Source organism: Homo sapiens, chromosome 12 (assembly GCF_000001405.40).
Source record: "Homo sapiens chromosome 12, GRCh38.p14 Primary Assembly".
NCBI classification, from domain to species: Eukaryota; Metazoa; Chordata; class Mammalia; order Primates; family Hominidae; genus Homo; species Homo sapiens.
This window is the reverse complement of record NC_000012.12, coordinates 88,558,615-88,570,920: the sequence shown is the minus strand read 5'-3', so window position 1 is coordinate 88,570,920 and position 12,306 is coordinate 88,558,615. Positions and strand designations below refer to the sequence as shown.

The 12,306-nt window shown below is 37.5% G+C and overlaps 1 protein-coding gene and 1 long non-coding RNA gene across 3 annotated transcripts in view, besides 1 other annotated feature; both read left to right on the top strand.

The window, feature by feature from the left end:
• Nucleotides 1–12,306, top strand: part of KITLG (KIT ligand) — an 87,679-nt gene that overhangs the window by 9,551 nt on the left and 65,822 nt on the right. The window lies entirely within an intron of this gene.
• On the top strand, nt 5,529–11,604 carry LOC124902979 (uncharacterized). The gene is made up of 2 exons (XR_007063398.1): nt 5,529–6,713; nt 11,325–11,604. It is a non-coding gene; the product is annotated as an uncharacterized LOC124902979 (long non-coding RNA).
• Nucleotides 10,338–11,537: an enhancer, noted in NCBI's record as "P300/CBP strongly-dependent group 1 enhancer chr12:88953161-88954360 (GRCh37/hg19 assembly coordinates)". NCBI's record gives its function as "activates an origin of replication core promoter dependent on BRD2, BRD4, P300/CBP, MED14 and CDK7 cofactors, with strong dependence on P300/CBP, by STARR-seq in HCT116 cells {active_cell/tissue: HCT116}" and the evidence as "EXISTENCE:reporter gene assay evidence [ECO:0000049][PMID:35650434]".

Sequence of the window (12,306 nt, the reverse complement as noted above, 5' to 3'; positions counted from 1 at the left end):
AAGAGCAGCTTACTGAATAAGGAAATATAAGACAAATTAATAAGTTAATAACTGTGAATTACTCCCCATGGGTGAAACACCATGCCACAAACTGCACAAGTGTATCTCATTCGATTGTAGCAAAATGTTGTAAAATACATATTATTATTTGGCATCATTTTTTTTAACAAAGAAAAATAAAAACCCTGAAGTTCAGAGAGATTAAGAAAACTTGCCCAAAATGAGAATTTAAAAAGTGCAAGTGGAAGAGTTTGTATTTGAAGCCAAGCCTATTTAAATCTAAAGGCCAGATTCCTTCTAATCACTACAATATAATGCACCAATATAGACACGCATGCATACACATACAAACTGAAAGGGTTGAACTTCTTTGTTTTTTTTTTGTTGTTGTTGTTGTTTTTTCTAATTTATTTGTGGAGAAGAAGATGCAATTTAACTTTACACCAGAAAGACTGAGAGCAGGCAAAGCTGAGTCCTCTGGTTGAGTGATGAGTTGCTTCTGACCCCACACTCCTCAGTACTTACCAGAAGTGTAAATGGCTGTATGTGAGCAACACTCCCACAGGTCAGGGAGCCTGGGTTTCCTCATCAGGCTTTCCCACCCATCTCCCCAGCAGTCAAATGGAAACCCCTTGCCTGACTCATCTGACTGTTGTGAGGGAATCTCATTGTAAACTCTAAAGATGTCGTCTTACTTTATGGAATCAGGAATTACTTCATTGCCAAAAAGCTTTCTGTCTTTCAAATAAAGTGGTACTTTGTTGGCAGAGGGCAGATTTTAAAATATTTTAAAGTTATGTTTCAAAATAACTTCTTGGAAATAGAAAGATACTTCAGAAAGTACTTTTATCAATTTGCTCTGATCCTCTTTACATGATGTTTTGGAAGATGGTTTTAAATGTCTGTGATCATATTAGGAAATTATTTGATAATAATGTCGTTTATGTCTGGCTTTTAAAGCTACCAGCCATTTATATTGTGGCCTTTGTTTTGTTCATTTCTTATCAATCCAACTGCATTAATATTAAAAAAAATATTTTCTGCATTAATATCGCAAGATTTTAAATGGGTGATTGTCAGCACAACCTTATCAGCAGCATCACCTTGTAACATACTCAATAGCAGTTTAGTACAAATGAAAATGTTGGCTAAAAAGTCCTGGCATCATCTCAACACAGGTAAAGGAGACAACAGAACAGAGATGTGCTTAACCAAACTCTGCAGTCAGATGGTCTGCTTTGGTTGCCTAAGAACGAAAACCTCTTAGCCTCAATTTCCCCATCTGCCAAACAGAATGAGCAATGGTACATTTATCATAGGTAGTTATAAGGATAAAATGAAATAATCCACAAAAAAGCACTTAGTCCAGTGCTGGACACCAAGAAAATACTAAATAAACATTTACTCTTGCTATTACCATTAAACAAATGGTAATGTAATGCTTATCAATAGTGATGGCTCCTTTCTTAAAGAAAGTGACTTTAACTGCAAAATCTCCACTACCAGAGTGAAAGGGAAAGTTGAAGCAATTTATCCAAGTAACTCCAGCCTCAAATTCACTTTTGTCCTGAGTAATGTAGTTGTTTTTATTCTTTTTTTAAAACAAAAACTGAAAAAGAAAAATGTGTATAATTAGAATCACAAAAGAGTTTACCTAGAGCAAAGTTACTTCTTTCTATCATGTGCCCAAGATCGCGGCACCAATATGTGGTGGCTGGCTTATGAAACAGATTCGGATTCAGAGCTCGCATTCCCAAGCTCTTTGCTTTACCTGGAATTAGGGGGACAGAACATGAGTCATTCCCATTTTGAATCAGTGAGTGATTGCCTACTTTTCCCTATATGAGTGAAGTCATTTTCAGCATCCATAGAAATATAGCCACTTGTCAAAAGAAAATGGAAAGAACATGGCTTTTGTGTCAAAAGCATATAGATTTTACCTCTGGCTCTTGACTCTAGCTTGACATGGGACCTTAGGCAATTTATTTATCTTTCCTTAACCTTCTCTTAAACTTCTGTAAAATGGAAGAATAATACTTTGCAGCTTCCTTCTCTTGTTTCCTCACTCTTTTTTCTCTCCCTTCTTTCCTTGTTCTTTCCCTTCTTTTTTTTAAAAACCTGGAAATAATGTTATATACCTAATTTGTAATCACGATTCACAATCACTCAAATAATTGTACTATTAGAAAACAATGTTTTTCAGAATTAACACGGTTTCCTGCTCTAATTTTAAGAAGTAAATTATATTTCTCAAAGTGTTTGGCTCATTGGCCTTGTGTAGACTGGAAGAAGCATGGGGTTTGGAGTTAGACAGAATGAGAGTTAAATCTTAGCTCCACTATTATGATTACAACATGATATTTATTTCCTTCCTCTAGGCCCCAATATCCTCATTGGTGTAATGGGGTTGTAGGGGTAATAGTACATAGTTGGAAGAACACAAGAATTAAATGAGATTATAGTCTGGGCATGGTGGTTTATGTCTGCAATCCAAACACTTTGGAAGACAGAGGCAGGAGGATTGCTTGAGCCCAGGAGTTTGAGAACAGCCTGGGCAACATAGTGAGACCTTGTCTCTACAAAAATATTATAAATAAAATAAATAAATAAATAAATAAATAAATAAATAAATAAATAAATGAGATAATATGTGGAAATTGTCTGACCCAGAAGTGATGCTCAATAAATTGTATCTGTAAGCTTTAGGGAATGGATTATGCCAGCAGACACATCAGTATGTATTAGACTGTCTGCTCTGTGTCTGTAAGGATGTTGACACATGTTGGCGACCTCACAAGTTGTGAAAGTCAAGAGAGTTAATTAACTGAGCAGTGCTCTACATACTATACTGTCCATTCAGAGGCCTAGTGTTGTTGTATTGTTCTCAGACTTGAGCAATAAAAAATATAAATTTTCCAAGTACATGAAAACTTTAGTTTATTAATGTCTTCTAAAATGAGCCTCAAATTAGTTTTTGTATAGTATGATCATGAATAGCTTTGGAGACTCATAAATCTGGAATCATCTCTTCAAACTGTATGACTTTGAGTCACTTGATTCTTCGGATAACATTCTGATTTTCTCACTTGTAAAATGAGGTTTATAATAGTGTCTAAGTCCTAAGGTGACTGTGAGGATTAAATGAGCTAATGCATAAGAAGGGCATTAGGACAGGTACCAGAAAACCTCGGTAAATGTTAGCTCCTTTCAAATAAAATGCAGTTTTGCATTCAAAGGTTGTTCGTTTGTTGTTTTTATTTTTTTTGCATGTGTTGAATTTAATAACTTTATAGAATCAACAGTTTGGAAATGTTTCCATTATGAATTCAGGTTTTATTTTCTTGTCAGTGACTCTGTTTAGTTTAAGGGCTTGGTTGTCCAGATTCATCTTTGAGTAAGTTTTGTATCAATCAAGACAGATGCAAGTTACTTTTATCAGTCCATTACTTCAGGTAAACAAGCATTCCATTCTTTGACAGAACATTAAACTGTTATGTTCTTTTTGATGGAGTGCTGATTTGTTCAAAACACTTGTGAAAGAGAGAAAACAGCTCCTGTTTTATAACTCTTTTGTAATACAAAGTTTGTTTCCAAAGGTTTTCTGGAAGTTTCTTGATTGAATCTTTGATTGTGGATACCACAGTGATTAATTTACCAAGCCGGAAAATGTGGGAAGTAATTTTGGGTTCAGTTCAGAGTGGGATCTAACACAACACTTTGAACCAATATTAAAATGCAGAAATCTCTTTTAGATATTGAAAAAGAAAAACAAATATATATATATTAAAGTCCCTGCTTTTAAGGCCTAAAGGAGAATGTAGTAGAAACACTGACATGTGTAATTTTTGTGAATTGCTTAGGAACAGAATTAGATTTAAAAAGGAATTCCTTTTGCACTTTTCCCTGAAGATTTGTGTCCTAGCATTTGAGGAGTAATACAGGAAAGTCAGAACAAGAACTTACTGACAGCGCAGGAGATCCATGTCCTAAATTCATGTATGTGGTACTGTATTGCTATGCAGCTTTCAGGATGTCCATTTTATTGTCCATCAAAATGTAGGGGTAGATCCTATAATTTTAAAGGTTCTTTCTAATGCACACAATCTAGAGTTATTAACAGAAGTCTGACTGTGTCATTACCCTGGCTAAAATCCTCTACCGACTTTACATTACCCTCAGGATAAAGTCCAAACCCTCAGCACACTATACAAGGTCCTCTGTGGTTTGGCTGTTGCTTATCTCCACCACTCCCGAGTGGTAAGTTTCATTCCAGCGTCACCTAACTATGTACAATGACATACCAATATTGCTGCACTTGGTTTCCAAGGCCCTGAGGGCCTCGCATTTGGGTAGCTTTGATGGTCTCTACTCCAGGAAGTCCTCCCTGACTTTTGTTTGCTCTTTTTCCTCAGCCCCTCTCCCTACTATGTTGTTTAGTGATCTTACCCTGAGCTCCTGTAGCATTTAAAAAAACAATCATATCACTTATCACATTATATTGAAGTTATTTTTTTACTTACCTAGCTAAGTTGTCTAACACTGGTATCCCTAGCTAGTGGCACAGTGCCAAAATATTGATAAAGGTTTTCTGAACTAAACTATGAATTTAATGCCAAATGTCTCTTTGAGGGACAACATCCACCTGTCAGCATTCTAAGAATGGATCCAGACATTTGACAATTTTGTGCCTGCTGACCTCAGCAGACACATGAAACTGCATGTAACACTGTCCTGTATAAACATACATACATTGTTCAAACAGAATTTTCCTCAGAGAGAGAAATGATAAATGAGCCACTTTGGGTGGTAGAAGAGAATGGAGACAGTAAATTAAAAATAAATAAATAAATAAAGGAGAAGGTGAGGCCATTGCTTGCCATTCTTAAGGAAATGACACAATAGGCTGAATGACAAGGGCCAGTTAAAACTCGCTAATGCCAGATATATGAAGACTTAAGAACCAGAAAGGATTTTAGGGCAGAATATTGTTGATGATGATGAAGAGGAAAAATGTTGATTTCCGATGCTTATTCTCTGTGCCAGGTCCTGAGCTAAATGTGTTACATACTTTATGTCTCCTGATTCTCCCCACCTGTGAGGGTGGTGGTAGTGTGATTATTCCATTTGATACAAGAGGAGGAATCTGAGCTCACAGAGGTTGAGCAAATTTCTCAGCATCTTACAACTCTCAGTCATCAAACCTGATCTGTTTGTTCCTAATTTCTTGCTTAGTATTAGTACTGTTGACATTTTATTTTCTCACCTAGAGATTTTGTTTGTTTGTTTCTTTGTTTGTTTAAATGGAGTCTCGCTCTGTCACCAGGCTGGAGTGCAGTGGTGCAATCTCAGCTCACTGCAACTTCCGCCTCCCAGGTTTAAGTGATTCTCCTGCCTCAGCCTCCTGAGTAGCTGGGATTACAGGCACGTGCCACCACTCCCGGCTAATTTTTGTATTTTTAGTAGAGATGTGGTTTCACCATGTTGGCCAGGATGGTCTCGATCTCTTGATCTCGTGATCTGCCTGCCTCAACCTCCCAGAGTGCTGGGATTACAGGCCTGAGCCACCGTGCCCAGCCGAGATTTTTTTTGATACATAATAATTCATGAGACTATTACAAATATGGTAAATGGATTCTTCCTTCCCAGCTCACCCACACTCAAGATGCTTCCTTTAAAATTCTGTTAACAATTTGTGCTAGTTAATAGGTAGCTAGTGCAATACTCAAGTAAAGGATGTTGTGTAGTTTTGGATACTGAGATGTATAGTCTTTGTCTAAAAGGAGTTGAAAGACAGAAATATGACAATATGAGAGGGTTTAGATGATTCTATTAGAATGATATTTATGTATTTAAAACAGATATGGTTAAGGAGTTCAGCAAAAATAATGTCTCAATACATAAGATCAGAGATTAAGCGTGGAGGAAGAAAGTTGGAGAAGGATTAACAAGAAGTGATGTTTTCAAATTTCATGTGTGGTTAGAAGCCATCATCTTAGTGACTCAAGGCAGTAATACTACTGCTTTACAATACAGTGCTCTAAAATAATGTTACAGATATTGCATGTACTTTTAAAAACATATATCATTTTGGGGATACTCTTTGATGCCAAGTTTAAAAAATTCTGAAGTGTTTAAAATGATACAAACTTAGAGCATGATCTGTGTTCCTTTTTTTTTTAATCAGGTAAGCTTCTTGGTTTTGGGTGTAGATCTGAAAAGTTAACATTTCTTGAACCAATAAAATGTTTCCAGTTTTATATAATTATATCACAAAGTCTACCTTCTGCCTTGATTTGCAAAGAAAAGCTCCAAAAAGGACCATAAAGAAGAGGAGATAACACACAAATGGTGAGCAATGAAGTAGATGTACAAAATGGTTTGTGCAGATTTGGCACTTAAAACATACAGCAGCCGAAGTACATCTTAAATTTCATTTAGTGAATATATTGCTCACGAGTCCCTCTCTTCATTTCCTGAGGAAGTAGATCCCTATTCTCTCCCATATGGTGAGAAAATCTCTTTGCTATCCAGTTTCCCTGTTTACATTTGTTCTTCCATCCCCTTCTGATTCCTCAGCAAAGCAGCTGCTTTGAAAAGAAGCTCAAAGGATTACCTTGAAATGGTTACCCACTCTCCCCCTTTTCTGCTCCAAGAAGAAAGTTTCTTTCTGTATTTTCCCAGCATTATTAAGAGTCAAGACTTGAGGCCTTAAGGTACATTTCCTATATTCTTCTTTTGTTTTAAACTTGAAAGCAAAATAATCTTCCCAAGTCTACCATGAGGATGAATTTCAGAATGCACAATAACTTACATTTACCGAGAAAACTGTTAAGTCAGAATCTTCTAAAATAGAGATAACAATAACAAGTGTGATGCCAGTACTCCTATCCTGATACATTGTAAAAAATCATCTCCTTCCTTACTGTGTCCTACATCCTTTTTTCTTTTCTTTTTTTTTGAGATGGAGTTTTGCTCTTGTTGCCCCTGCTGGAGTGCAATGGTGCAATCTTGGCTTACTGTAACCTCTGCCTCCCGGGTTCAAGCAATTCTCCTGCCTCAGCCTCCCTAGTAGCTGGGATTACAGGTGCCCACCACCATGCCCAGCTAATTTTTTGTATTTTTAGTAGAGGTGGGGTTTCCCCATGTTGGCCAGGCTGGTCTCGAACTCCTGACCTTAGGTGATCCGCCCACCTTGGTCTCCCAAATTGCTGGGATTACAGGTGTGAGCCACTGCGCCCGGCCACATCTTCCTTTCTTAATGAATTTAGAGTCTCCTCCTACATCAAAATGGTATTAGAGAGAATGCTAAGGATAATTCCATGGATCTCACGATAAACAATTGGAATAAAAGAGCTTGCCACTTAGTCATGATTATTAGCATGAAAATGTGATGATGCAGCCTATTTTGGGGGAGGGATGAAGTGTCATTGAATCAGCTCATGAGTAGTCTGGCATGCGACTTTCTGTTTCTTGCAAACAAGTTGCATGATAGGGGAACATCAACACTATGCCAGTGTGTCCCTGAAGAAAAGGTAGCTGGTTTTGTTTTGGTCAAAGTAGGAATGAGTCTGGAAAGGGATTCAGTTTTATGAACATTGTTTTGCCTGCTTTAGAAAAGATGACAGATAGATAAGAGTCAACCAATGCTTTGGGAAGAGATAAGATTAGCATTTAAAAGCTTAACCCATGTCATCACTTCTGGGTATGTCTTCCCTGAGTGAAATCTTATTCTTTGCATGCATTTTGAATGCTGAATCACCATGAATAATTTTTATGAATGGCTACTTTAGAAATGTTAATGGATTGCAACTCATTGGGGAAATAAAAAATTTATGGTTGCGTATTACAATAAATTCTAAATAAAGCAGTATATGGAATTGTTGACTTCTCAGAGACTTCCAGTGAACTTACTGCAGGACAGTGTCTACATTTCAGCTCTGTGTGATACTTTCAGTGTTTTCGCTTTTTTAATATGCCCCTTTTTGTCAATAAAGGAAAGAAACTCCACTTTATACTTACGTAGTTTCTTCAGAAAGGGAGCTCTGGGGATTTTATAGCCAGGTCAGCCCTTCAATTTTGGGCCACATCTACCAGGAGAAGCATTTTTCAATGATTGTTCATTCATTAAAATTGTCTATTTACGTTGTCCCTGCCCTTCTTGGAGCTTGTAGTCTACTCATGGTTTTATAGCCTAGTTTTCCACTTACATGGACCTAGGGAAGTATTAAAGGTACAAAGAAAATGGTTAAAAGTTCAAACTGAGAAGCATTTAGCTAATCGTCACTATTTGAATTTAGAAGTTATTGAGCCTAAGAGTGAGAAGGATGACAATGGTTTATACCCAACTGATGAACAAAACCCTCCTGTTTATCCTTCACTCATTCATTCTAAATATATTTACGAGGGGCTTCTTCACACCTGCCATTGCCTTAGTCAGTCTGACAAAACAGGGAGGGACTGAAAGTCCATATGGCACCTTATGGTGCTCACAGTCAAGTGTAAGAAACAGATAATAAGCAAAACTGGTTGGCGATGTTGCAATTCTATTGTGTAAATATGGAAACCAGCTGCTGAGGATTGAATTGTACATTGTCCAGCCTTCATCTCTGCCCCATTATATGTACCTGGGTTTATTCTCTAGTAACACAATTTAGATAGTGCCAGTACCTTGGTCTGTACCATATAAAAGAGAATTTTATTGAAGGAGAACTTTTATGAGCAATTCAGTAGCAGTTAGCAATACATACAATCCACAAATATGGAGGATTATGTACTATGAGAAAGGACCAAATCAAGGTGCTAGAGGTAAGAATGACGGATAAGAATAATATAATCCTCATTCTTATACCATGTATATTCTTGTTGGGAGGAACAGATGATAAGAGTAAACTAATTGGGTAATCAAAATAATTTCTGAGAATGAAAAGTGCTTAAGGGAAAGCAAAACTGTGATGTGATGTGATGTGATAAGAGGTGCTCCTTAAGACAGGTTACCTGGGAAGGCTTCTCTGAGAAGGTGATATTTGAACTGAGTCCTGAATGATGAGAACAACTTGCCATTGGCAAAGCCCAAAAAGGAGAAAACTGGCAGCAGCAAGTACAAAGGGCTTGAGGCAGGAATTACCTTCCAGGTATTTCAGGAACATAAAGGAGGCCAGTGTGGCTAGAGCATGGTGGGAAGATAAAGGTTACTAAGGCGTAAACATGGAGTTGGACAAGTCTGTCTTCCGAAGGTCTCTGTAGGCCTTGATTAGGAGTTGGAGTCTTACTGTAAATGTAATGGGAAGGCATTGGGAGATTTTAAGCAGGTAGTGATCATGTTTTATATATTCCCAGAAGAAGATACTATTGTGAGTAATAAGTCTGAAAGCAAAGAAGGCTATTTAGAGGATCCCTGTAATCTTCCAGTAAGAGTGTGCTAAGAGCTTAGCACAAGCTAAAGTTGTACAAGATGAAATGGAGAGAAATGAGTTTTGAGATTTATTTTGCTGGTAGAAAATATGATCAGATGTGGAAATAGGGGACTGGGAAGAATCAAGGATAGTGCCCAGATTTTTGGCTTAAACCACCATTCTTCAAGTTTGGGCATGATGTTACTAGGAATGCTTGTTCTAGACAGCAATGACAATAGCCATAGCAAACATTTATAAAGGTGTATTATTTGACAGGTACTATACTAAATGCCCACTTACATAACTATATTTAATCCTCAGCAAACCTATAAAGTCAGTTCTGTTATTACACCCATTTACAGATGAGGAAACTGAGGCCCAGAATGATAAAATAACTTTCCAACGGCCATAAGGATTGTGTCAAAGTAGAAATTAAGATATGGGCAGTCTGATTCTAAGGTTGATGTTTTCCAACCCCCTCCTCTATACCACTTCTCTGTGCATGAGTAAACACACTGTTTTCTTTCTTTCTTTCTTTTTTTTTTTTTTTTTTTTTTTTTTGAGACAGAGTCTCGCTTTGTTACCCAGGCTTGAGTGCAGTGGTGCGATCTCGGCTCACCGCAACCTCCGCCTCCCAGGTTCAAGCGATTCTCCTGCCTCAGCCCCCCAGGTAGCTGGGACTACAGGCGCATGCCACCATGCCCGGCTAATTTTTTTATTTTTAGTAGAGACGGGGTTTCACTGTGTTGGCCAGGCTGGTCTCGAACTCCTGACCTTGTGATCCGCCCGCCTCAGCCTCCCAAAGTGCTGGGATTACAGGCGTGAGCCACAGCGCCCAGCCAACACACTGTTTTCTAAAGCTGTTTTGGATATATTAGTGAAGCTGAAGTTGACTTTTGAAACTTTGCTATTTAGGTTAACATTCACCTGTTGCCCAAACAATTTTTGCCTCACTTTTATACTAGGTAGAAAAGAGCCTGCCTGCTTGGAAGAGCGGATCCAAATCCAAGCTCAGGGGGCAGTTTCACAACCTCTTTATTTCACTTTCCAGGGCTGATCTTTAATCTATGGGGAGGCAGAGGATAAATGAGATTGTTTACAATTATTATGTGCAATTAAAAAGAAAACACATTTTTTAAAAAATGGGTTGTATTGTGAATGATTGTATAGTCATTTACTGTTAGCAAAGCTTTTAGAATATTTAAGGGATCAATAAAGATAAAATTATAACTGTAGCATCAACTGTGGTTTAACTGTAGCTAACTGAACTAGCTATAGTTAACTATTAACTGTAATTAACAAAATAATAATTAGAGCATTAATAGTCATGTAATGTTCTCATAGATCTGCCAATTGGCTTGTGAGTGCTTTACATAACATTGTCTTATGTAATCTTTTCAAAACTGCAAAAACATGTTATCATCACAAGAAAACTGAGTCTCAGAGAGGTTACATAATTTGCTCTGGATTACAACACGTGACAGCACCAGGATTTGAATCCATATCTTACTTTGATAACGTTCTCTGTTTTAAATGTCATCATCTTCATAAACAGTGAGCCTGCAATTGACATATATTGTTATCAGAAGAACAAGTCCTGGGCATGTCATTGAACCTGCAGTTGTAGAGTATTGTTACCAGAGAAATGTGTCTCAGGCATGTCAATGAATCTGCAATTGAAGTTTATTGTTACCAGAGGAACTTGTCCCAGGCATGCCAACTGTAAATGCTTTGCTGTGTTTCAGCTGGTAGAATTGTATTAAACTCTCATGGATTGCCTATAAAAAATTGGTCTTTTTTAAAATTTAAAATAATCCTTATTTTTCAACTTGAATTGTGAAACACTAATGGGAAATTTCTAAGGAAAATTTTGACCACCCTTAGGAGAAATAAATGCTTAATTACTGGGCTTTTTCCCCTTGTTTTGCTTAGGATTTAATTTTGGACAATATAGTCTACTCTGCCTGATTGAAACCTGGGATATACTTCAAAGAGTATATTGAAGTGCATTTGATGGCCTGTGGAATTTTTGGAAGGGCCGTAGGAGCAGACTGCAAGCTGAGCTTCCAGAACACTCCCAGCACTCAGAACTTAAGTCCACTACAGTCTGTAAATATGTTGCGGCCAGTGCAGAAAGCTGTTACTGCTGCTGACTGGAGGGTCTTGCTGCCCGCAGTACCAACTAAGCCAATAAAATGCATGCCCACAGCCAGCCTGTCTTCTCGAGTATTTCCTTCCCATATCAGATCTTGCAGTCACGCCTAATTGGCAGAACCGAAGTCCCATCTACAACCCTGGATAACTTAAAGGGCGTCTGATAAATGGAGTTTTTAGCTTTCCAGCCATGATAGTTTAGAGGGATATGCTAGGAGAATATTGGAATGGCAATTGAAAGAGACAATCAACAGTATTCTGTGCACTCAATACACTTAACTTTTCTTATCTTTTTTGTTTTTAATTTCCATAGGTTATTGGGGAACAGGGGGTGTTTGGTTACATGAGTAAGTTCTTTAGTGGTGATTTGTGAGATTTTGGTGCACCCATCACCCAAGTAGTATACACTGTACCCAATTTGTCATCTTTTATCCCTCACCCCCCTCAAGTTACTCTAAATCAAGAGCACCTAGTATGTAGCCCTTCAATCAAATACAACGTTGTATATCTTTTAAGACATTTTTGTTTTGTTTGTTTTCTTTAACAATATAACACTCATGAACTATCTAAAATATTATATCTCAGACTTTATAGAGTACCTAATAATCACATAGAGGGCTTACTAAAAGATGTGCTTTCCTGAGATGCACCCTCAGAAATTTGGATTCCCTCTGACATGCAGGAATCTGTATTTTAATTAAACACCCCAGATGATTACACTTTCATCTAAACATAACACAGCTGACTCCCTTGGTTTCAG